The sequence below is a fragment of the Homo sapiens genome, chromosome 12 (genome assembly GCF_000001405.40).
Source record: "Homo sapiens chromosome 12, GRCh38.p14 Primary Assembly".
NCBI lineage: Eukaryota > Metazoa > Chordata > Mammalia > Primates > Hominidae > Homo > Homo sapiens.
Genome location: NC_000012.12, coordinates 1,057,267 through 1,084,689, shown reverse-complemented (window position 1 = coordinate 1,084,689; position 27,423 = coordinate 1,057,267). Strand labels below are relative to the sequence as shown.

Here is a 27,423-nt window from a genome sequence, read left to right as displayed (position 1 = left end):
ATTTAAAATAAAAAAAAAATGACTGGAAGCATATACATAAGTTAATAATTACTACTAGGTAACAATACTTTGAGTTATAAGTTTTTGTTAATCTATTTCCCAATTTTACTACAATGGATTTCCAGTGTAATAACATCATGTTTTTAAAAAACAATGATGTTCTACTTCAAAAATAAAAATGCCCTCACTGTTAAAAAAGATTTCAGACTTTTTACAAAAGGAAAAATTATAGAACAACCTACAAATTTAGAAGTATTTTTAAAAATTATTATTTTGCTGCTTTGGGAATACGCCATTTTTTAAACCTCCTTCCTCACATTTTATTTAAAAAGGAATTATTCAGACTCATACTAACACAGATTAGGGATTTATTTTCCCCTGCCCAAAAGTGAAAATTACCTGAAGTCCAACTATATATAGAAAAGTTATTATGGCTATTAATTTTTTAATTCAATATAAGATGGTTTCTTCCTTTACGCCTTCTTAAAATGATACATTATTTAGAAAAGTAAAAAATTATCAGTAGTCACCTAGGTCAGCTAAAAATAAGTAACACTGTGTCTCTACATCACTCTCTCCAGCTATGCCTCCATGGCAGCCAATGATTTTTATCACGTATCTTTTACAGCAAGGCAACAGTTTCCATGGAAACCACAGGGCAAATATCCATTATTGCTGCCAAGGACTTTTATAAGCACACATAAGCTGAGATAACCGCTTACTCTCTTTTACTAATATTTTTAAATTAAGCAATGGTTAGCTATTCTGATTCTGGTTTTGTTGTGTTTGTTGTCTCTATGAACAGATCTAGAGATGAGTGAAAAATCAAGGAATTTTTTACCCCTTTAGCAACAAATGAACTCTCAAAATCAGGGGAGCAGGAGAGAAAAGACCCAGAAAGTCACTGAGCCAGCATACATACCAGACAATGTCATCCCATACAACAGGGCAAATCAGAACAGAAATCAGTGACGCACTTAAATACAAAGGATGAAATTCTCTTCCACCAGCACGGCAGAGCACGTAGATTCACTGGGGCCAAGATGCTGATTAATCAGTGAAAAAAAAGATAACCAACAAATCATAAAACTAAAAAAGTAGTCACATACCTCTCTCAACATACTGTTCTCTTTTTCCTTCTGCTCCAAAAGGCTTTCTAGGTGATGAACGTGCATCTCTGCCTCTGCCAGTCGTCTTGTTCTCTCATGGTCTTCCTCGGTAGCCTTGGCAGAAAGTCCTTTGCTCTGCAACATTTCCAGAAGCTTCTTAATGGATTCATCCCGAGCATTTAGGGTCTGCTTTTGAGTCTCAATACGCAGCTCCATTTCCTCCAATGTCTTTCGAAGAAGAAACAGCTCTTTGGCCTGCCGCTCATGCTCAGCATGAAGCCTCTGAAAGTTCTCCTCTGTCAGCTCTGCTACACAAGGTTCGCCAGTCCTGCTGCTACTATCCTGCTGAAACAGCTGATTCAGGTCCCTCTGGATCCGCAATTCATCCTGGAGAGCCTGGATTGTCATCTGCATGTGCTAGAACCAAGACAAAAAGAAAACCCCCAAATCAGCTTTCCTCCTCAAGTAGCAAATCAGAGCAGCCTGCAGGAATCAAAAATAGCTACAAGAAATCTGCATCTAGCAAATTAGGATTCACCTTATTCTGTTTTACAGGTCCTTAAAAAATGATTGAGATAATATGCAAAATGTCAGTAATTTAACTTCAGTTTATTCTCAACAGGAAGCAAAATAAGTATGGCACTCACTCCTCACTTTGCATAAACTACAATAAAGACACTGTTCAAAATTAATAGAAGATATTAACACGGAAACTAAATTTGAGGGAATGTGGGAAATGGGAAATCTACAGGAATATGAATACATTCTTTCAAAAAATTTCATCAAAACAGCCGGGCGTGGTGGCTCACACCTGTGTAATTCCAGCACTTTGGGAGGCCAAGGTGGGCAAATCAGCTGAGGTCAGGAGTTCAAGACCAGTCTGACCAATATGATGAAACCCTGTCTCTACTAAAATACAAAAGTTAGCCGGGCGTGGTGGCGTGTGCCTGTAATCTGAGCTACTCGGGAGGCTGAGACAGGAGAATCGCTTGAACTTGAGAGGTGGGAATTGCAGTGAGCCAAGACTGCACTCATTGCACTCCAGCCTGGGCAACAAGAGTGAAACTCTGTCTTAAAAAAAAAAAAAAAAAAAAAATTTTTTTTTTTCATCAAAAAATACAAAGGATGGCCAGGCGCGGGGGCTCACACCTATAATCCCAGCACTTTGGGAGGCCGAGGCAGGCGGATCACCAGGAGTTCAAGACCAGCCTGGCCAACATGATAAAACCCCATCTCTACTAAAAATACAAAAATTGGCCAGGCACGGTGGTTCACGCCTGTAATCCTAGCACTTTGGGAGGCCGAGTCGGGCACATCACGAGGTCAGGAGTTCAAGACCAGCCTGGCCAACGTGGTAAAACCCCGTCTCCACTAAAAATAGAAAAATTAGCCAGGCATGGTGGCACGAACCTGTAATCCCAGCTACTCAGGAGGCTGAGGCAGAAGAATTGCTTGAACTGGGAGGTGGAGTTTGCAGTAAGCCAAGATCACACCACTGCACTCCAGCCTGGGTGACAGAGCAAGGCTCCGTGTCAAAACAAACAAACAAACAAGCAAAACCGAAGGACAGCGAAATACAAAATGACTTTTAAGTATTATAAACATTAAATAATAAATATTAACATTTAACAAGTAGTTTGTATATGCCAGATTGTACCACACATTTTTTATGTTATTTAATCTTCATTATGACACATGGACTCTTTTTTTATTTTACTGTAGTAAAAACCCTTAACATGACATCTACTTTCCTAACAACTTTTAAGTGTACAATGCATTACTGCTGACTACAGGTACAATGTTATACATCAAATCTGTAGAGTTTATTCATCTCAACCAAAAGTTTATATTCCTGTTGATTAGTAACTCTCCATTTCCCCCTACCCCCGGCAACTACCATTACACACTTTGATTCTGTGAATTTGACTATTTTAGATACCCAACACATGTACTATTATTTAATTTTATAAATGAGGGCACGAGGCTTAGAGAGGTTTAAGCACTTGTCCAAGATCACAGAGTAAGTGATAGAGCTGGCATTCAAAGCAATCCTTGCAGCCCACTAAAACTAGAACCAAGAAAAAAAGAAAACTCCAAATCAGCTTTCCTCCTCTAGTAGCAAAAACAGAGCAGATTGCAGAAATCAAAACTGGTAATACCCAAAGATAATAATATAGCAAAGTTTTTTTAAGTTAGAATATGCAAAGCTTTTTATACAGGGGACGGTAACAACATGGGTGGCTAATTAAATAAAGGTGTTAATGCAGATGAACTACTAAAATGTTTGAGAGGGTAGATCTTTAGCTTCTATCCCTAAAGAAGGTACACGAACCTTTAATCTGAATGGTTATGTAAATTCCAGCACATTATACAATGAATTCCAAAAGGCTGTGACATCAAAAATCTTATTTTTAGGAATGAAGAAGCAACAATAAAAGATCATTCCTTGTATTCAAGGCCTAAGCAGTGTACCATACTGGGAAGAACACGAAACTGTGATGAGAAAACATGAGTTTCAGTTCTGACTCTCACGCTGACTAGTTATGACATTTAGACATGTCACCATCTTTCTGGGTTTCAGATCCCTCATACTTTAAATAAGGGTATAAATACCTGCATTATCCATTGAAAAAATCTTTTTTTTTTTTTGGAAATAAGGTGGCTGCTCTATTAGTTCGTTTTCACGCTGCTGATAAAGACATACCCAAAACTGGAAACAAAAAGAGGTTTAATTGGACTTACAGATCCACGTGGCTAAGGAAGCCTCAGAATCACGGTATGAGGCAAAAGGCACTTGTTTAATTGGACTTACAGTTCCACATGGCTGAGGAAGCCTCAGAATCACGGTATGAGGCAAAAGGCACTTCTTACATGGCGGCAGCAAGAGAAAATCAGGAAGAAGCAAAAGCGGAACCCCCTGATAAACCCATCAGATCTCGTGAGACTTACTCACTATCACGAGAATAGCATGGGAAAGACTGGCCCCCATGATTCAATTACCTCCTCCTATGGCCCTCCCACAACATGTGGGAATTCTGAGAGATACAATTCCAGTTGAGATTTGAATGGAGACACAGCCAAACCATATCACCTGCTAATGATTTTCAGCCTTAAAAAGGAAAGAAATTCTTACACATGCTACAACACAGATGAACCTTCAAGACGTTGTGCTAAGTGAAATAAGCCAATCACAAAAAGACAAACACTATATGTATCCATTGACATGAGGTATCTAGAGCAGTCGAATTGATAAAGAAGGAACTAGAACAGTGGTTGCCAGGACATAGGAGTGGGACAGAACGAGGAGTTATTGTTTAATGGGTATACAGTTTCAGTCTGTCAAGATGAAAAGAGTTCTGGAGATAGATGGGATATACTGAATGCCACTAAACTGTACACTTCGAAATGGTTAAGATGGTAAATTTTATGTTATATATATTTTACCATAATAAAAAAATTGGTTGGAGAGAAGATGTTGGTCATAAAATTCCACTTACGGATATTTTAGGTTAGTTCTCATTTTTCACTATTGTAAGATGCACCTTCACATATGTATCTTTACACATGAATCCACATTTTTCTTGGGAACTCTCAAAGATGGAATTGCTGGATCACAAAGTATGTACAATTGTAATTCTGATACATATTACAAATCATTTCTATATGTATCTTTGTATATCAACTTTTGTCATATTACAAATCATTTCTATCTGTATCTCTGTATATCGACTTTTGTCATATTACAAATCATTTCTATCTGTATCTCTGTATATCGACTTTTGTCATATTACAAATCATTTCTATCTGTATCTCTGTATATCGACTTTTGTCATATTACAAATCATTTCTGTCTATATCTCTGTATATCGACTTTTGTCATATTACAAATCATTTCTATCTGTATCTCTGTATATCGACTTTTGTCATATTACAAATCATTTCTATCTGTATCTCTGTATATCGACTTTTGTCATATTACAAATCATTTCTATCTGTATCTCTGTATATCGACTTTTGTCATATTACAAATCATTTCTATCTGTATCTCTGTATATCGACTTTTGTCATATTACAAATCATTTCTATCTGTATCTCTGTATATCGACTTTTGTCATATTACAAATCATTTCTATCTGTATCTCTGTATATCGACTTTTGTCATATTACAAATCATTTCTATCTGTATCTCTGTATATCGACTTTTGTCATATTACAAATCATTTCTATCTGTATCTCTGTATATCGACTTTTGTCATATTACAAATCATTTCTATCTGTATCTCTGTATATCGACTTGTCGTATTACAAATCATTTCTATCTGTATCTCTGTATATCGACTTTTGTCTTATTACAAATCATTTCTATCTGTATCTCTGTATATCGACTTTTGTCATATTACAAATCATTTCTATCTGTATCTCTGTATATCGACTTGTCATATTACAAATCATTTCTATATGTATCTCTGTATATCGACTTTTGTCATATTACAAATCATTTCTATATGTATCTCTGTATATCGACTTTTGTCATATTACAAATCATTTCTATCTGTATCTCTGTATATCGACTTGTCATATTACAAATCATTTCTATCTGTATCTTTGTATATTGACTTTTGTCATATTACAAATCATTTCTATCTGTATCTTTGTATATCGACTTTTATCATATTACAAATCATTTCTATCTGTATCTTTGTATATCGACTTTTGTCATATTACAAATCATTTCTATATGTATCTTTGTATATCGACTTTTGTCATATTACAAATCATTTCTATCTGTGTCTTTGTATATCAACTTTTGTGACTCCTCTCTCCTTGTTCTTTGCCCATTTTGTTATTGAACATTTTTTCTTAATCCATTTTAAGAGCTCTTCATATTAGGAAAATAACCTTTCACCTGCTGTGTATGTTACAAATATTTTTCCAAGTCTGCCATTTTTCTTTTAACATTGTTTATGATGACTTTTAATAGATATTTTCTTTTTTAATACAAAGACAATGACATTTTCCTTTATCATTTCCGGTTTGGGTATTATGCTTTTAGCAAGCAGTGAGCTTTCAATTCTGGTAGTCTTCAAACACTTGAAAAGCACTGCTATTTCTTTCGAAGAATAAACTCACCAAAAAAAAAAAAATCAGGAATTTAAATTCATGAATATAAATTTTAAAATGCATTTCACTACCAGCATCATCTTTTAAAGATTAACAGTTGCTGGAGTTCAAAAGACCTTCAATAAAAAGATGTATCAAAATGCTAATTCTCTGAAGCCTAGTTTCTTTCCCTTGGAAGTCAAAAAAAATCCTGACACTCCTGAGTGAATATATCCCAAAGGGAAATACCAGAAGTGAAATTCAACAGGGAAGCTGATTTCTAGGTATGACTGTTCCTCCTTTTCTGACCATTCGTCATCAATTCATTCAAGTCAGGAGAAATATATGTTGGCTACAGTTAACAGTTTCACATACGCTTTGGCACATATGGCTAAATGTAGCATGGCAATTACTATTTTGGTAAAGAAAGAAAACATTAACTACTAGTGTGTCTGGTTCTTCAGCTCCGCCTGCACCCATTTTACTATAGTATAAAAATAAAACAATGCTCTGACTTGGTAGCCTAGAAGTCTATACAGCAGTTTTCTCCACTAAAATATAAACCAACATTTCCTCTTTTGGCTACAATCAGGCTAGCTTTATTTTATAAAAATTCCTGCCAACTCCTTTAGAAGAAGGAAAAAAGCAGACTACAAGCAAGGCTACTCTTTCTCCAGCATATTCATACAGAAGATAAAATGGGCATATTCACACATCACAGACATCTATAATGATCAACCAAAAACAGATACATTGAGTTTAAGGAAAGATCGAGTTGTAAGATAATACTAGAATGTCTATTTGGGAAGTCTGTTCCCGACACACTGCAAAATGATCTCACACTCCAAATTTTATAGCAACACTCACTAGTCTACTTCTCACTCTAACACTCAGCTTGATTTTGAAAGGCTGGGAAAGTATTTGTCTAAAATTTACTCCAGGGACTGTACTATTATTACACCAAGCTATATCTCAATGAAATGGTAGGATATTGTGAACAACAATAATGAAAATTCTTAACTATCTGACAGGGCCTATGACTTTTATTACAACAATTAGATATCTGCAAAAACAATGACAGATCACAACTACTATTCATATATTTTAGATAAATATCAGAAGCTCTTCTGAGGCAGAACTTCCAACAAATAAACTGTCATTAGTTTCTTAGAACAAGAGTACACTTTGATCCCGTTTATTCTCATTCCTAAAATAACAGAACTATGTAGTCTAGAGATATTTTTAGAGAAAAAAAATTATGGACACGTGAAATGGTCATGATTACAAACAAAATATATCACAGAGAACTCAGTACACTGTTTATCAAGAAGATCAGAGTCAGAGAAAACACCAGTATTGTACCCTTTTACAAATGTTAAATTAAGAACATTTTTTTCTGAAACATATAAATACATGTATTAAATAAACTTTATTAATGTAACACGCAAAAGAGTTTTAAAGAATTCTTAAGTCAACCAAGTCAAGCTTCCGGTTTGGTTGGGCTATCTGATGTTCCCGTCTGTGCTGCCCAGGGCTGTATGCTTATCCACAGAATAGCACTTCTAAGACTGATCTGCAATTTAATTCTTTGTATTTATCATCAATAAACTTTCTAGGACTTAGGAATGTCATCTTTTTACCCTGTCATAAATTTTTTATGAAAAACTGACAAAAATTAAATGTTGAGAAATTATGTTGAAAGTAAATGGCTACTGTATATTAGCCGCATTGCAAGTATCTGGGAAGTTATACCTCTTCCTTAAAAAAATAATGCAGCCAATTACTCTTATTCTAAAAAAATCACTCATGCCTATAATCCCAGCACTTTGGGAAGCCAAGGCAGGCGGATCACAAGGTCAGGAGTTCAAGATCAGCCTGACCACCATGGTGAAACCCCGTTTCTACCAAAAATACAGGAATTAGCCAGGCATGGTGGTGCGCGCCTGTAAACCCAGCTACTCAGGGGGCTGAGGCAGGAGAATTGCTAGAACCGGGGAGGCAGAGGTTGCAGTGAGCTGAGATCCTGCCACTGCACTCCAGCCTGGGCGACAGAGTGAGACTCCATCTCCAAAAAAAAAAAAAAGAAAAAGAAAAAAAAAATCAGTTCTACACCAACCAATACAAGTAATTCTTAAATCCCAACTGGCCAAAATACAAACCACAGTCCTAATAAAAATGTTAATTATATGCTCTAGGTTTATTCAATATTTGACCTGAAGCAAAAAGAAGCATTTTCAGATAATCAACAGTCAACAAGAATCTTTCATAGTTGTACTATACGAAGCACAGCAAAAGTACAGGATAAAGTTCTTATCCAAAAATAAAGCTCACAAATGGGTAAAACATAAGAGTTATAACCTATTACAAATTTTAAATTAACAACAATATTCAAGAAAGACAAAAGGAACACAGATAAAGCATTTATTTTACATGCAATATATTCAAATGAAGCTTAGAACCTATAAGATCACTATGAGCTAAACTCATAAAACTTTAATATATCTCTATGAAAACAAAGTACAGTTGACCCTTGTACCACACAGGTTTGAACTTTGAGGGTCTGCTGACACATGGATTTTCTTCTGCCTCTGCCAAATCTGAGACAGCAATACCAATCCCTTTTCTTCTTCCTCTTCCTCAGCCTACTCAAAACAAAAATGATGAGGATGAAGATCTTCGTGATGGTCCACTTCTACTTAATGAATAGTAAGTGTATTTTCTCTTCCTTGTGATTTTCTTTTTTTTTCTTTTCCCCCGAGACAGTCTTGCTCTGTTTCCAAGAGATGGAGTGCAATGGAGTGCACTTTTGTTGCCCAGGCTGGAGTGCAATGGCACAATCTCAGCTCACTGCAACCTCCGCCTCCCAGGTTCAAACGATTCTCCTGCCTCTGCCTCCAGAGTAGCAGGGATTACAGGTGAGCACCACCACGCCTGGCTAATGTTTGTATTTTTAGTAGAGACGGGGTTTCACCATATTGGCCGGGATGGTCTTGATCTCTTAACCGTGTGATCCACCAGCCTCGGCCTCCCAAAGAGCTGGGATTACAGGCATGAGGCACCACACCCAGACAATTTTCTTAATAACATTTTCTTTTCTCTAGCTTGCTTTAAAGAATGCAGTATATACATAAAATACATGTTAACATATAACATACAAAATATGTGTTAATCAACTATGTTATCAGGCCCCTGGTCAACAGTAGGCTATTAATAGTTAAATTTGGGGGGTGTCAAAACTTATACACAGATATAACCCCACTTTGTACAAACGTCAACTGAATTCTAATTTCCATAATTTTAAAAGAAGAAACATTTTAAAAGAAGAAACTAATTTAATGAGTCTGAACCACAGAGAATGAGACAGGGGAAGAGCCTCCAAGGTAATTTACTCCTCCTTATTGTTAGTTTAGTATTCTTTGAGTTAATGACAGAGATTTATTTCCTGTACAGCAAAGCACACTGAAAGCCCTCAAATATTAAACCAAATCAAAGTTTTCAGACTAATCTAAACACAAGCAGGAGACTCACCAAAATGCAAAAAAGACCCGCACTAGAACTCAAAGGGATGGATTAAATTGTTTAACATTCTCACCCATTATTTGGAGCTTACTAACCAAAGTTATTTTCCTCTAAAAAAAGATGTCAGAGTCAAGAAAATGAATGAGCAATTACACTAGAATTCTAACAACTACTCTCTGCCTCTGAATCCAGGAAAAATAAGATCATCTATCTTTTTGCTCTGCGAATGCTGTACATAAATCTAAGTAGCAAGATAATGGCTGGAAAACATCAAAATTTGGACAACAGGTTTATTTCAGCAATAAACATAATCCATCTTTATGCTACCACAACCCAGAATAGAAGTTAAAGAATAAATGAAAATGTGGTCGGGTGCAGTGGCTCATGCCTGTAATCCCAGCACTCTGGGAGGCCAAAGTGGGTAGATCACTTGGGGTGGGGGAGTTTGAGACCAGTTTGACCAACATGGTGAAACCCCATCTCTAAAACTACGAACCTTAGCTGGACATGGTGGCATCCTATAATCCCAGCTATTCGGGAGGCTGAGGCAGGAAAATCGCTTGCACCCAGGAGTTGGAGGATGCCAAGATCACGCCACTGCACTCCAGCCTGGGTGACAGAGCAAAGCTCTGTCTCGGAAAAAAAAGAAAAAGGAATAAATGAAAACACTATCAAAATGGGTAAGTCCTACTGTCATAAATGCATTCTATATACACCACATGACGTTTCAGTCAACAAGAGACTGCATGTATCATGGTGGTCCCATAACATTACAATGGAGCTAAAAAATTCCTATCACAGGCCAGGCATGGTGGCTCACACCTGTAATCCCAGCACTTTGGAAGGCAGAGGCGGGCAGATCACGAGGTCAAGAGATCAAGACCATCCTGGCCATCATGGTGAAAGCCGTCTCTACTAAAAATGCAAAAATTAGCTGGGTGTAGTGGTGCGTGCCTGTAATCCCAGCTACTCAGGAGGCTAAGGCAGGAGAATCGCTTATCCGGGAGGCGGAGGTTGCAGTGAGTGGAGATCATGCCACTGCACTCCAGCCTAGCGACACAGCAAGACTCCGTCTCGGGTGGGAGGGTGGGGAATTCCTATCACATTGGTCATAGCCATCATAATGTTGTAACACATGCCTTACCCATGTGTTTGCAATGATGTTAGTGTAAATAAACCTAATGCGTTGACAGTCATATAAAAGTGTGGTACATACAATTATATACAGTACATAATACTTGATAATGATAATAAATGACTATGTTACGGGTTTTTGTTGTTAGCTGTTTTTATTTCCAAGTCCCTTCTGTTTTGAGACAGAGTCTCGCTCTGTCGCCCAGGCTGGAATGCAGTGGTGTGATCTCGGCTCACTGCAACCTCCGCCTTCAGAGTTCAAGCCATTCTCGTGCCTCAGCCTCCCAAGTGGCTGGGATTACAGGTGTACGCCACCACCCCCTAATTTTTGTATTTTTAGTAGAGATGGAGTTTTGCCATGCTGGCCAGGCTGGTCTCAAACTCCTGACCTCAGGTTATCCGCCCACCTTGGTGCTGGATTCAGGTATGAGGCACCTCATCTCCTAGACAGTAGCATTTTATTGGTCTTATATCTTGTGTATATTTTCCACACATTGCTGAAAAAAACATTTTTTTAAATTTTTTTTTGAGAAGGAGTCTTGCTCTGTCGCTAGGCTGGAGTGCAGTGGCGTGATCTCAGCTCACTGCAACCTCCGTCTTCTGGGTTCAAGCCATTCTCCTGCCTCAGCCTCCCAAGTAGCTGGGACTACAAGTGCACAGCCACCATGCCTAGCTAATTTTTGTATTTTTAGTAGAGACGAGGTTTCACCATATTGGCCAGGATGGTCTCGATCTCTTGACCTCATGATCTACCCGCTTCAGCCTCCCAAAGTGCTGGGATTACAGGCATGAGCCACCGCACCTGGCCTGAAAATTTATTTTTAAAGTATTTATTGGCTGGACACAGTGGCTCACGCCTGTAATCCCAGCACTTAGGGAGGGCAAGGCACGCAGATCATGTGAGGTCAGGAGTTAGAGACCAGCATAGCCAACATGGTAAAACCCCATCTCTACTAAAAATACAAAAATTAGCTGGGCATGGTGGTGCATGCCTGTAATCCCAGCTACTAGGGAAGCTGAGGCACGAGAACTGCTTGAACCCAGGAAGCAGAGCTTGCAGTGAGCCGAGATCGCACCACTGCACTCCAGCCAGGGTGACAGTGCGAGACTCTGTCTCAAAAATAAAAGTAAAAATTAAAATTAAAACACAGAAAGGACTTGGAAATAAAAACAACAACAAAAATGATAAAACTTGCATAGAGAAGACCATACATTTTTCTTGAAGCAAAACACTGCAGTATAAACATTTGTACACAAACCCTTAATATTTTCCATGACAATCATCAAATAAGATGCGTCTGAGACTCTTTTGCACATGTGTTTGTAAAGACATTAAGCAGATAAAAGAGCTCCTCAAGAAAATTAATGAAGAAAATTTTTGAGAAATTAATGCAGAGAAAGGCAATCAATGTAGGTAGTAAACATTACAAAAGATTACTTCATGTTTTCGTATTTGAAAGGAAAATAAATTTGCTCTTCCTTCATAAATTTTCCTTCATATTTAAAAGGAAAATAAATTTGCTTCCTTGGTTATCTGCCAATTCTATCACACAAACCCCAATAAATATATTTGTTGGCATTATTTCCAGACAGACATTTAATTCCTGCATGCATACTGCAGAGCTTTCACACACCAAGTTATATTTGCAATTCAAATGCTTAGGTCTATGATCACAAAAGCTTTCATATCACTTCAGCTGACTTTACACTTTTTTGTTTTTTTTTTTGAGACAGAGTCTTGCTCTGCTGCCCAGGCTGGAGTGTAGTGGCGCAATCTTGGCTCATTGCAACCTCCACCTCCCAGGTTCAAGCGATTCTCATACCTCAGCCTCCCAAGTAGCCGAGATTACAGGTGCCCGCCACCAAGCCTAGCTAGTTTTTGTATTTTTAGTAGAGACAGGGTTTCTCCATGTTGGCCAGGCTGGTCTCAAACTCCTGACCTCAGGTGATCTGCCAGCCTCGGCCTCCCAAAGTGCTGGGATTAAAGGTGTGAGCCACTGTGCCCAGCCTCAGACTTTATACTTTTAAGGGAAAGATATTTGGATGGTTATCTTAGGAAGTACTAATGATAAAACTTTAAATTCACAAATTAGACTTCAAAATTTTTAATTTCTGCTTATCAAAAGAGAACATTGTATCATATGGAAAGAGTGATGAGGAAAAATTTTAAAAAGAAAGAGACCACTATAAAAATAAAATTGGCATGCCACATATAACTGTTAAAGGACTTGTATCCAGAATATATAAACTACTTCTACAACTCAATTAAAAAAAAAAAACTTTTTAAAAGTGGGTAGAAGACTTAGATACTTCAAAAAGAAAAATACATTCCTGGGGAAGATGAACGTTCTTCTAAGGACAATAAGCAATTGAACTAACTAACCAATAAGCAAACGAAAAAGTGACTAGTATCTTTAGTAACTGGGGAAATGCAAATCAAAACCACAATAAGATATCACTACACACCCACTAGAATGGCTAAAATTTAGACAATTAACAATACCAAATGCTGGCAAGGATGGAAGCAGCCAGAAGCAACACTGAAAACTGCTCTGGTAGTTTCTCACGAAGTGAAGTATGCACCACCCTAGGACCCAGGAATTCCACCCTTAGGTATCACCCCAAGAGAAATGAAAACATGTACCAATAAACACAACCATATAAAAATGTTTACAGTGGTTTTATCTATAAGAGCCAAAAACTGGAAACAACACAAATGTCCATCAACAGAAGATTGGATAAACTGATAGTACCACATTCACACAATGGAGTGTTACTCAGTATATAAAAGGATAACTATGGATACATGCAACAACATGGATAAATGTAAAAAACAACACACTGAGCAACAAAAGCCAGACACAACAGGGTACAGACTGTATGATTCCATTTAAATGAAGTTCGAGAACACGTAAAATTAAAGTGAAAGGAATCAGAACACTACCTGTGCTGCGGGGCAGGGATGATGCGAACTGGGGAGAGATGCAAGGGAACTTTGTGGGATGATGGAAATGTTCTGTATCTTGACAGAATTGTGGATTACACGGGTGTTGGCATTTGTCAAAACTCATGGAAACAAGATACTTAAGGTGTGTGCATTTCACTGTATGGAAACTATATCTCAACCAAAATATGTTTTGAAAAGAAGTAAAAGGTCTAAGGTTTAAAAAGGGAAAATAAATAAATATTCAAGAGAATCTCTTAACAAGTAGGAATGACTTGGATTAGAAGAAGGAAGAGTAGACCAGGCACAGTGGCTCACACCTATAATCCCAGCACTTTGAGAAGCCGAGGAGGAAGGACTGCTTGAGCCCAGGAGTTCAAGACCAGCCTGGGCAACACAGACACTGTCTCTACAAAAAAATTAAAAAAATTAGCTGGGCACAGTGGCATGCATCTATAGTCCCAGATACTCAGGAGGTTTCCCTGAGCCCAGGAGTCTGAGGCTGCAGTGAACCATGATCATGCCACTATACTCCAGCCTGGGCGGCAGAGTGAGACCCTGCCTCCAAAAAAAAAAGAAAAGAAAAAAAGAAAGTAAGAAAAAAAGAAGGGATGATAATTTAAATGATTTTAAAGAACACTTCCAGTTCTGACATGCTTTGTAGCATACTCTTATTGCCTAACTCAATGTAACCTTACATTCTTAAGGTAAAACAGAAGGTTTAAAAGCTGAAGTTTGAGGTTATAAAGACACATTCAAACATACAACAAAGTAAGAAAACCACTACCAATAATTTGCCTTATTTGCTTCAGAGCTCTCTCTCTCTCTCTCACTGTTGCTTATTTAACAATTCACATAAATGATGTCATTTGCACAAGGTTATCTCTGCAACTTCCTTTTGTTACTTAACATAATATGCTTCAGATTTATCCACATCGATACATGTAGCTCGATTTCATTCATTTTATGAACTTTATAATATGGGTTCACAATTCTTTTTCCAAAAATCTAAAATCCAAAAAGCTCTTAAGTTTTCCCATAACCTAATTAAAAAATGTAATTAACCCAAATAGTATGAAGCCATTTAAAATCTATTTATCCCACTTAATATGAATATTCATAAATTTTGCTACAGAAAAATTAGTATGTTTGATTATGAGGTGTTTCCCAAATCCCAATGGGAGTGTTATACAATAAATGGTATACATACCGAATTACCTTTAAAGTTTAAAAATTTCTAAATTCCAAAATACATCTGCCCTAAGTATTCTGGAGATAAGGATTGTTTACTTGAATTCCACTATACGAATAATATCAATGTATCCATTCACTTACTGAGGAACAGTTAAGTATTTTTGTACTTATTCACTATTATAATAAATACACCTCCATCTATCTAGATCCTATCTAGATCACCATTATAATAAATTACACCTCCATCTATATAGATCCTTGAGCACATGGGTAAAAGTTTCTCTCAAGAAGACACAGAAATAGAACCGCTGGGTAGCAGAGTGTGCCTCCAACTTTACCAGTCATTTAAACTTGCTACTTTTCCATTTTATATACAGCTAAGTACACCATGCAGATGATAAAAGGAGTCAGATATCCAGCCTGGAATGCTTCTATCTAAGGAACCTTGATATCTAATCATATAGCACTAACTTTTGGTATAAATGATCAAACTGCTATTTCATAAAAACAAAACAAAAAAACCCCACAAATGATTGTGCATTCAAGTCCATCAATAAGGAATAGAGGTACAGCATTTTCAAAGAAAGCTGTGAATTACAAAGCTGTCTTAGCAGAACCCTCACTTCATTCTGAGACAGGAGAAATATTTTTAAAATTACATCTATGGAATATTAAATAAATCTACCTCTCAATATAAGACCTTATGTTTCTCCATTTAAACAAACAACCATTCGCCAAAAAAGAAATAACCTTTTGTGTCTTAATGTGCCACTTACTGCCATTTTCAAGACAGTTTAGCTTACTTAAGAAGGTATACATAAAGACACCATCTTCACGCTCTACGTATGCAGAGACTATGCAATGCTCCAATGAGAACACAGTGTAAGAAGGCGAAAGTTCCCTGTTGAAAAAAAATTAGTCTGCTAATTGGATCATTCTTAGACAAAAGAACCAAATTGATAAGCAATCGGGCATAAGAGGAGAAATCAATAAATTTACCTTGCTAGTATATTTTGAGGTTTTGTTCACTTAAAAAACAAAATTATCAATAAAATCAGAGCTTCAAGGGTATGAAATGCAATTAATTTTCATTTTTTCAAGGGCTTTTAACATCATTTTACTGTTAGAGGGATAAAAATTATTCACAAAAAAATGCTAAGCATCAGTAAAGAATCAGGTATCCCTGAGTGACTACTTTTTTTTTTAATTCCTAAAGGGAAAAGTAATTATTTTTGTATGTAATAAATAAGAAAGGGCCAGAAGAGAAACTTGATTCTTGTGTCTTTTAAGCCTTCAGGTTCCTTATCTCCAAGATAATTTCATACGGATCTTTGAGATCAAAATTTTGGCACCTTAGTGTACAATTACAGTATTTGGCATTTTGTAGGGATTCTCAGGTAAAGATGAAAAACTTGAACATCTCTCTCCAAAACTTAGAGTCTTAATTAAGATCTCAGCATCGCCGGGCGCGGTGGCTCACGCCTGTAATCCCAGTACTTTGGGAGGCCGAGGTGGGCAGATCACAAAGTCAGGAGTTCGAGACCAGCCTGGCCAAGATGGAGAAAACCCATCTCTACTAAAAATACAAAAATTAGCTGGGCTTGGTGGTGGGCGCCTATAGTCCCAGCTACTTGGGAGGCTGAGGCAGGAGAATCACTTGAACTCGGGAGGTGGATGCTGCAGTGAGCTGAGATCGCGCCACTGCACTCCAGCCTGGGCGACAGAGCGACTCTGTCTCAGAAGGAAAAAAAAAAAAAAAAAAAGCAGTGGCTAAAATGAAATACAGTAAAATTGGCAAACTACACTGGACACACACACAGTTTTGTTCTAAATATATTTTTTACAATATAAATTAGCTCATACATGATCATGATAAATAGAGAACTATCATTATAACAAAGCTGTGCTGATTCATATGTACCTTTTCCTAGGCAAGAGAACTACAAAGACAGGCAGAATTGCAGCCTTCAGCAGGAAAGGAAAATGCCCTCTGCTTGGCTGCTGAATAAATAGTGATCCTTTCAGCTCTATTTTGAGAAAACTAAAACAGAGCACCTGTATCCAGGGCTCCCTTCCTACAGGGGCACACCCCTGAGCACTCATGGCCCTCTGCTCAAGACAGGCTGCACTTTTTCCTGCGCTCAGAGATCCACTTCCATCAGCAATTTCTCAGCACTGTAAGCAAGCATTTCTACTAAATTACTTCGGTGAGTTTTGAATATATGTTGAAGCATTCTCTGGCTACTATCACCTGGCATCCTAGTGCTATCCAAGTAATCTCCTGAGGTACCATTTATTAACATTACTTCTGTTTGTGTTATGATTACAAAGTTACATATATTTAGAATACTCTTCCCCAAACCCTAACTTTCCAATAGTAAAATTTTATAGAACCTGATGCTTTTCATCGGATAGCAGAAACACTGGCATTTTACACTAAAAACTTTTCAAACTGGCTTGTTAAAAAATGAGTTGTAAAAACAATTTAGTGGTTGCCAATCTTTTTTCATTAAAAGAAAATAAAACTTAAAACATCTAACATCGTCCATAGAGCAAGTATTATATCATAAAACTTATGTTTTGGCCGGGCACAGAGGCTCACACCTGTAATTCCAACACTTTGGGAGGTGGAGGCAGGCAGATTGCTTGAGCCCAAGAGTTCGAGACCAGTCTGCGCAACATGGCAAAACCCCGTCTCTATAAAAAATACAAAAACTAGCTGGGTGTGGTGGCACATGCCTATAGTTCCATATTTTCAACTACAAAACTTAAAACTGAAAGATAAAATACCAAACTCAAATAAACATAAGTTCGTAATAAGATCCTTCTTGCTAATTTTTTTTTTTTTTTTTTGAGACAGAGTCTCGCTCTGTTGCCCAGGCTGGACTACAATGGCGCAATCTCAGCTCACTGCAACTTCCACCTCCCAGCGTCAAGCAATTCTCCTGCCTCAGCCTCCTGAATAGTTGGGATTACAGGCACCTACCACCACACCCGGATAATTTTTCTATTTTTAGTAGAGATGAGGTTTCACCATGTTGGCCAGGCTGGTCTCAAACTCCTGACCTCACGTGATCCACCTGCCTCAGTCTCCCAAAGTGCTGGGATTACAGGCGTGAGCCACCGCACCCAGCCTCTAGGTGATAATTTTCAAAGTATCAAACTCATTCAACAAATCTGTGTTTATGACTTAAGACGCTCTCAACATAGCCAGAGCAACATAAGTACCATGGGTGCCCCCTACCGTCCAGTCCCTGATTAAATTTCAAGGGCTCACTTGATTTGATAAACAAGGTGTAAAGCAGTTTAAAGCCATTATTTTAAACTACTAATATAGTTCTTTGTTCTTCCTAATCTATCTTGCAATGCTGACATAAGGCTTAGAATCAATATATGTGAAGGCTCCAGCTCCCGGTAAATCCTCAACACAGGGCAATTATATTAATCGCCATAGCGAATATTTGTTTTAATTTATGACTGTTCATAAAACTTTTAAAAAATAATGTATTGAGGTGTAGTTCATATAACATAAAATTAACCATTTTAAAGTGAACAATTCAGTAACATTTAGTACGTTCACAGTGTTCCGCAATGACTGCCTCTACCTAGTTCCATAATATTTCCATCACTCCAAAGTTAAAACTCCTTACCCAGCAGTTTCTTCCCATTCCTCATTCTTCCCAGCCTCTGGCAACCACCAATTAGCATTCTACATCTGTAGATTTATCTACAAAATATATTACATATACACGGAACCATACAATAAGTGATCTTTTGTATCTGGCTCCTTTCAGTCAGGATAAAGTTTTGGAGGTATATCCACACTGCAGCATGTATCAGAACTTCATTCCTTTTCATGGCTGAATACTACTCTATTGTACGGCCAAAGCACGTTATCCAGCCAATACTGTAGATATACCTGCAGGAAAAAGTATTTCTGCACAAAAGCTGCTCCATAAAATTGGAAGGAGCAGCTGCTGCACCAGATGCACAGATGCCAAAGTAGACACAAGAAACATAAAAAAGCAAGGGAAATACAACACCTCAAAAGAAACTCAATTAATTCTCTAGGAAGAAATCCGTCCCCCCCCGCCCCAAAAAAAGAAATCTCTGAAATGCCTGAAAAAAATGAAAAATAATGATCTTAAGGAAACTCAGCAATATACAAACACACACACACACACACACACACACACACACACACACACAAACGGTACAAAGAAATAGGAAAACAATTCATCAGTGAAAAATTCAACAAGGAGATATATATCAAACAAACAAACAAATTGTGAAATTAAAGAATTCAATGAGTGAAATAAAAAATAGAATAGACTACATCAAGCGGATTTTCTGAACTTGAAGACAGGTCTTTTGCAAAATCTCAGACAGGGCTGGGCGCGGTGGCTCACACCTGTAATCCCAGCACTTTGGGAGGCCGAGGTGAGCAGATTACCTGAGGTCAGGAGTTTGAGACCAGCCTGGCCATCATGGTGAAACCCTCCCTCTACTAAAAATACAAAAATTAGTTGGGTGTGATGGTGCACACCTGTAATCCCAGCTACTCAGGAGGCTGAGGCAGCAGAATCACTTGAACCCAGGAGGCGGAGGTTGCAGTAAGCCAAGATCGTGCCACTGCACTCCAGCCTGGGCAACAGAGCGAGACTCTGCCTCAAAAAAAGAAAAAGAAAAAAAAAGAAAAAACTCAGAAGAAAAAGAAGAGAGGATAAAAAAGAATAAAGCCCACATGGCATATGGGACACCATTAAGTGAACAACTACTTGCACTTTGGGAATTTCAGAAGAGATGGTAAATGGCATAGACAACCTGTTTAATGAAATAATAGCGGAAAACTTCCGAAGTCTCAGCAGAGATACAGGCATATATCCCTCGAATCTTTGGTATTCACAGATCCCAAAACATATTCAGCCCAAAGAAAGTCCTCTCTAAGGTACATTATTGCCAAGTTGTCAAAAGTAAATGATAAAAACAGAATTCTACACTGAACACGGTGGCTAACTCCTGCAATCCCAATGCTTTGGGAGGCCAGGCGGGAGGATTCTTTGAGGCCAGGAGTTTGACACAAGCCTGGGCAACATAGCAAGACCCTATCTATACAAAAAATGTAAAAAGTAGCCAGGGATGGCCAATCTTTTAGCTGTAGTCCTAGCTATTCAAGAAGCTGAGGCAAGATCACTTGAACACAGGAGTTCAAGGCTGCAGTGAGCTATGACTGAACCATCACACACCAGCCTGGGCAATGGAGCAAGACCCTATCTCTAAAAATAATAATAATCACAGTAATAAAAAAGAATATTCTGAAAACAGCAAGAGAATACTCAGGAGGCTGAGTGGGTAGGATTGCTTGAGGCCAAGAGTTGGAGGGCTGTCGTGAGACATGATTGTGCCTGTGACTAGCCACTGCAATCCAGCCTGGGAAACAGAATAATGTCTCTCAAAAAAAAAAAAAAAGTTTTTTAAACAGCAAGAGAAAATCCTCAAGTCACATGTATGGGAATCTCCATCAGACTAATGGCAGATTTCTCAGCAGAAACTTTACAAGTCAGGAGAGAATGAAATGATATATTCAAACTGCTGAATGAAGGGGGTGGGGAGCAAAAAAATTGTTAGCCAAGAATACTATACCCAGCAAAGCTATCTTTCAGAAATGAAGGAGAAATAAAGTCTTTCACAGACAAATGAAAACTGAAAAAATTCACCACTAAACCAGCCATACAAAATGCTGAAGAGAGTCTTACATCTGGAAGGGAAAGAATAATATGTATCATCACGAAAACACATAAAAGTATAAAATTCACTGGCAAAGCAAATATACAAATGAGAAAGAGAAACTAGTCAAATGTTATCACTACAGAATACCACCAAACAGCAAGGATAAACAATGAGAGGAAAAAAGGAACATAGGATATACAAAGCAATCAGAAAACAACAAAATGACAGGAGTAAGCCTTCACATATCAAGAACAATCTTGAATGTACATGGTTTAAATTCCCCAATTAAAAGATATAGGCTGAATGAGTGGATTTTTTTTTAAAAAAAGACTCAACTATATGCTGTCTACAAGAAACTCACTTCACATGTAAAAACACACATAGAAAATGAAGGAATAAGCCAGGTGCGGTGGCTCACACCTGTAATCCCAGCACTTTGGGAGGCCAAGGCAGGTAGATCACCTGAAGTCAGCAGTTCGAGACCAGCCTAGCCAAAATGGTGAAAACCCCGTCTCTACTAAAAATACAAAAATTAGCCAGGCGTGGTGGCACATGCCTGTAATCCCAGATACCCAGGAGGCTGAGGCAGGGGCATCACTGGAACCCAGGAGGTGGAGGATGCAGTGAAGCAAGATCATGCCACCACACTACAGCCTGGGCGACAGAGCAATATTCCATCTCAAAAACTAAATAAATAAATACATACATACATACATGCAAAAAATCAGCCAGGCGTGGTGGCACATGCTTGTAATCCCCAGCTACTTGGGAGGCTAAGGCAGGAGAACTGCTTGAACCCGGGAGGCAGAGATTGCAGTGAGCCAAGATCATGCTACTACAGTCACTCCAGCCTGGGCAACAAGGGTGAAACTCCGTCTCAAAAAAAAAGAAAATGAAGGAATGGAAAAAGATACTCCACATAAATGGAAACCAGACGCATGAAGGAGTAGCTATATTTATATCAAACAAAATAGACTTTCAAGTCAAAAAACATAAAAAGGGACATTATATAATGATAAAGGGATCAATTCAGCAAAAGGACGTAACAACTATAAACACATATGCACCTAACACCAAAGCACCCAGCTATAAAGCAAATATTATTAGAGCTAGAGACATAGATCCCAATATAAGAATAATTGCGGACTTCACCACCCCACTTTCACCACTGAACAGATCATCTAGACAGAAAATCAACAAAGAAACACTGGTCTTCAGTGGAACTATGGACCAAATGGAACTAACAGGCATTCATAGAACATTCCATGCAACAGCTACAGAATATACATTCTCCTCATCAGCACATGGAACATTCTCTAGGATAAACCATATGTTAGGCCACGAAACAAGTCTCAACAAATTTTGTAAAACTAAAATCATATCAAGTATCTTCCCAGACCACAGTGGGATAAAACTAGACATCAAAAACAAGAACTTTGGAAACTAAACACCTGAAAAACCACTGGGTCTATGGAGAAATTTAAAAGGAATTCAAAAGATTTGTTGGAAAAAAAACCGAAATAGAAACACAACATAATGACAAGGTGTGGTGGCTCATGCCTGAAATCCCAGCACTTTGGGAGACTGAGGCACGCAGATGGCTTGAGCTCAGGAGTTCGACACCAGCCTGGGCAACATGGCAAAACCCCGTCTTCATTTTCAAAAAAAGAAAAGAAAAGGCCGGGCGCATTGGCTCACACCTGTAATCCCAGCACTTCGGGGGCCGAGGCGGGCAGATCACGAGGTCTGGAGATCAAGACCATCCTGGCTAACACGGTGAAACCCTGTCTCTACTAAAAATATAAAAAATTAGCCAGGCGTGCTGGTGGGTGCCTGTAGTCCCAGCTACTAGGGAGGCTGAGGTGGGAGTGAACCCGGGAGGCAGAGCTTGCAGTGAGCCGAGATCATGCCACTGCACTCCAGCCTGGGTGACAGAGCAAGACTCCGTCTCAAAAAAAAAAAAAAAAAAAGAAGAAAAGAAGAAAAAAAAACACAACATACCAAAACCTCTGGGAAACAGCAAAAGCAGTACAAAGAGGGGGGTTTACAGCAATAAATACTTATATCAAAAAAGAAGACAGATTTTAAATAAACAACCTAGCAATGCATCTCAAGGAACCTGAAAGGCAAGAACAAACCAAACTCAAAATTAGTGTAAGAAATAAAGACCAGAGCAGAAATAAGCAAAATAGAAACCAGAGAGAGAGAAAGAGAAAGCAAGAGATGGAGATATGGAGATATGGGGGGGGAGAGAGAGATTCAATTAGATTAGATAATTAGAGAGAGACACATATAAAACATCAATGAAACAAGAACTTGTTTTGGGGATTGTTCTTGTTGTTGTTGCTGCTGTTTCTGAGACAGGGTCTTGCTCTGTCACCCCGGCTGGAGTGCAGTGGTGCAATCTCAACTCACTGCAACCTATGCCTCCCAGGTTCAAGTGATTCTCATGCCTCAGCCTCCCAAGTAACTGTGATTACTGGCATACACCACCACGCCCAGCAACTTTTTTTTTTTTTTTTTTATAGTAGAGACAGGGTTTCACCATCTTGCCCAGGCTGATCTCGAACTCCTGGGCTCAAGTGATCTGCGGACTCAGCCTACCAGTGTGCTGGGATTACAGGCATGGCCCACTACGCCCAGCCAGAAACTTGGTTTTTTGAAAAGATAAGCAAAATCCACAAACCATTAGCTAGACTAAGAAGAGAGAAGACTCAAACAAAATCTGAAATGAAAAAGGAAACCACAGAAATACAAAGAATCATTAGACGCCATTATGAACAACTATACACCAACAAATTGGAAAACCTAGAAGGAATGGATAAATTCCTGGATATATAGAACTTGCCAAGATCGGACCAGGAAGAAGCAGTGATATAGTGTACTATACCCAAATCTCAACATGAATTGTATCTCCAAGAATTCCCACATGTGGCCAGGCGTGGTGGCTCACGCCTGTAATCCCAGCACTTTGGGGGGCCCGAGGCAGGTGGATCACGCGGTCAGGAGATCGAGATCATCCTGGCTAACACGGTGAAACCTCGTTCTACTAAAAATGCAAAAAAAATTAGCCAGGCGTGGTGGTGGGCACCTGTAGTCCCAGCTACTCAGGAGGCTGAGGCAGGAGAATGGCGTGAACCCAGGAGGCAGAGCTTGCAGTGAGCCGAGATCGCACCACTGCACTCCAGCCTGGGCAACAAAGCGAGACTCCGTCTCAAAAAAAAAAAAAAAAAAATTTCCCACGTTATGTGAAGGACCCAAGGGAAGGTAACTGAATCATGGGGCCAGTCTTTCCCATGCTATTCTTGTGATAGTGAATAAGTCTCATGAGATCTGATGGGTTTATCAGGGGTTTCCGCTTTTGCTTCTTCCTCATTTTTCTCTTGCCGCCTCAATGTAAGAAGTGCCTTTTCATATACACCATGGAATACTATGCAGCCGTAAAAAATGATGAGTTCATGTCCTTTGTAGGGACATGGATGCAACTGGAAACCATCATTCTCAGTAAACTATCACAAGGACAAAAAACCAAACACCGCATGTTCTCACTCATAGATGGGAATTGAACAATGAGAACACATGGACACAGGAAGGGGAACATCACACTCTGGGGACTGTTGTGGGGTGGGGGAAGGGGGGAGGGTTAGCATTAGGAGATATACCTAATGCTAAATGACGAGTTAATGGGTGCAGCACACCAGCATGGCACATGTATACATATGTAACTAACCTGCACATTGTGCACATGTACCCTAAAACTTAAAGTATAATAGTAAAAAAAAAAGAAGTGGCCTTTGCCTCCCACCATGATTCTGAGGCCTCCCCAGCCATGTGGAACTATAAGTCCAATTAAACCTCTTTTTCTCTCCAGTCTCAGTATGTCTTCATCAGCCAGCATGAAAACAGACTAATACAAGTAGTAAACCTGAACAGAACAACACCAAGTAACAAGACTGAATCAATTTTAATAAAAAGTCTCTCAACAAAGGAAACCCTGGATCAGATAGCTTTAATGCTAAATTCTACAAAACTTTTAAAGAACTAACACCAATTCTTCTCAAACTATTCCCAAAAGCTGAAGAGGGGTAATTCTTTGTAACTTACTCTATAGGGCCAGCCAGCATTACCTTGATGCGAAAACCAGACAAGGGTACAGAAACAACAAAAACTATGGTCAATATCCCTGATGAACACAGATGCAAAAATCCTCAACAACATACTAGCAAACAAAATCCAACAGCACATTCAAAAGACAATACACCAAGACAAAGTGGGATTTATCCCAGGGATGCAAGGATGGTTCAACATACACAAAACGATAAATGTAATATAGCACATCAACAGCATGAATGACAAAATCCATATGATTATCTCAATAGATGCAGAAAAAAACATTGGATAAAATTCAACATACCTTCCTGATAAAAACTCTCAATAAACTAGGCAATAAAGGAACATACCTCAACATAATCAAGGCCACATATGACAAAGTGACAGCTAACATCACACTTAATAGGGAAAAGCTGAATGCATTTCCTCTAAGAACTAGAACCAGACAAGTATGCCAACTTTTCACCATTCTTACTCAACATAGTACTGGAAGTCCCAGCCAGAGCACTTAGGCTAGAGAAAAAAATAAAGGGCATCCAGATTGCAAAAGAGGCAGTCAAATGTCCCTGTTTGCAGACAACATGTTCTTATATCTAGAAAAACCTAAAGACTCCATCAAAACAATCTTAGAACTTATAAACAAATTCACTAAAGTTGCAGGATAAAAAATCAACATATAAAAATCAGTAGCATTTCCATACACCAATAACAAACCAGCTAAAAAAGTAACCAAGAATGCAATCCCATTTACAATAAGCTACAACAACAAACTCTAAGAATAAATTGAACCAAGAAGGTGAAAGAGCTCTACAATGAAAATTACAAAATACTGATAAAAGAAATTGAAGAGGACACAAAAAAAATTGGAAAGACATCCCATGTTCATGGATAGGAAGAATGCTGTTAAAATGACCACTGTCATCCCAGCTACATGGGAGGCTGATGTGGGAGAATCATTTGAGCCCAAGAGTTTGAGGTTTCAGTGAGCTATGATCATACTACTACACTGTAGCTGGGATGAGAGAGCAAGACCTCGTCTCTTAAAAAAAAAAAAAAAAAACATACTTTCCAAAGCAAACTATAGATTCAATGCAATCCATATCAAAATATCAATGATATTCTTCAGAGAAATAAAAAAACAATTCTCAAGTTTATATGGAACCAGAAAGACCCTGAATAGCCAAAGCAATAATGAACAAAAAAGAACAAAGCAGAAGACATCACACTATGTGACTTCAAAATACACTACAAAGCTATAGTAACCAAAACAGCATGGTGCTGGTATAAAAACAGACACATAGACCAATAGGACAGAACAGAGAACCTAGAAATAAATCCACATATTTACAGCCAACTGATTTTCAACAAAAGAGCCAAAACCATACTTTGGGAAAAGGACGCCCTCTTCAATAGATAGTACTGGGAAAACTGGATATCCACATGCAGAAAAATTAAATTAGACCCCTACCTTTTACCAAACGCAATAGTCAACTCAAAACTGATTAAAGACTTAAATGTAAGACCTGAAACTATTCATATAAAACTATTAGAAAAAAAAATGTAGGGGAAACACTTGAGGACACTGGTCTAGGAAAAGACTTTCTTGGTAAGGTTTCAAAAGCACTGGTGAGAAAACCAAAATAGACAAATGGGACTATAACAAACTTAAAAAGCTTCTGCACAGCAAAGGAAACAATCAACAGAGTGAAGAGACAATCTGCAGAATGAGAGAAAACATCTGCAAACTATGCATCCGAGAAGGGACTAATATCCAGAATATAAAATGAATTCAAACAACTCAACAGCAAAAACAAACAAAAAAACAAAAACAAAACAAAACAAAAAAAACCTAATCTGATTTTAAAATGGGCAAAGGATCTAAATAGTCTAGATCTAAGGATCTAAATAATCTAATAATCCTACACACCTGAGAAAAATCACTAAAAAAAAATTTTAGGCCGGGTGCGGTGGCTCACGCTTGTAATCCCAGTACTTTGGGAGGCCGAGGCAGGTGGATCACGAGGTCAGAATATCGAGAGCATCCTGGCAAATATGGTGAAACCCCACCTCTACTAAAAATACCAAAATTAGCTGGGCGTGGTGGCAAGTGCCTGTAATCCCAGCTACTAAGGAGGCTGAGGCAGGGGAATCGCTTGAACCCGGGAAGCAGAGGTTGCAGTGAGCCGAAATCAAGCCACTGCACTTCAGCCTGGCAACGTAGCAAGACTCCACCTCAAGGAAAAAAAAAAAAAAAAAAAAAAAAACCATGCGCATCCTTCAAAACAGTTTTGCTATGCTGATATTCACCTTTTTAAAAAAAAAGTACAATAAAAGTCATAATTAATGCTTACTGCAGGCCAGCCCCTGTTCTATTTTTATTTTCATTTATATTTTAAACAGACAGTTCTCAAAAGAAGATATACAGGCTGGGCGCAGTGGCTCATGCCTGTAAGCCCAGCGCTTTCCAGGAGGCCAAGGAAGATGGACTGCTTGAGGCCAGGAGTTTGAGACCACCCTGGCCAACAGGGCGAAACCCAGTCTCTACTAAAAACACAAAAATTAGCTAGGTGTGGTGATGTACGC

General features: G+C 38.4%; 1 protein-coding gene across 53 annotated transcripts in view, besides 1 other annotated feature; it reads right to left on the bottom strand.

The window, feature by feature from the left end:
* Positions 1-27,423, bottom strand: part of ERC1 (ELKS/RAB6-interacting/CAST family member 1) — a 505,975-nt gene that overhangs the window by 411,244 nt on the left and 67,308 nt on the right. For 52 of the 53 annotated variants that reach the window (NR_027948.3, NR_027946.3, XR_001748631.3 and 49 more), the window contains one exon: positions 1,110-1,526. The exons of the other annotated variant lie outside the window; for it this stretch is intronic. Coding sequence is in view for 49 of the 52 variants with exons in the window: in XM_047428566.1 (XP_047284522.1) it covers positions 1,110-1,526 (417 nt within the window). In the remaining 3 variants the exon portion in view is untranslated. The remainder of the gene's footprint in view (positions 1-1,109; positions 1,527-27,423) is intronic. 53 annotated transcript variants of the gene reach the window in all.
* Positions 12,289-12,789: an enhancer, noted in NCBI's record as "H3K4me1 hESC enhancer chr12:1181067-1181567 (GRCh37/hg19 assembly coordinates)". NCBI's record gives its function as "activates a minimal SCP1, AML or CMV promoter by ChIP-STARR-seq in primed H9 embryonic stem cells {active_cell/tissue: H9 hESC(primed)}" and the evidence as "EXISTENCE:reporter gene assay evidence [ECO:0000049][PMID:30033119]".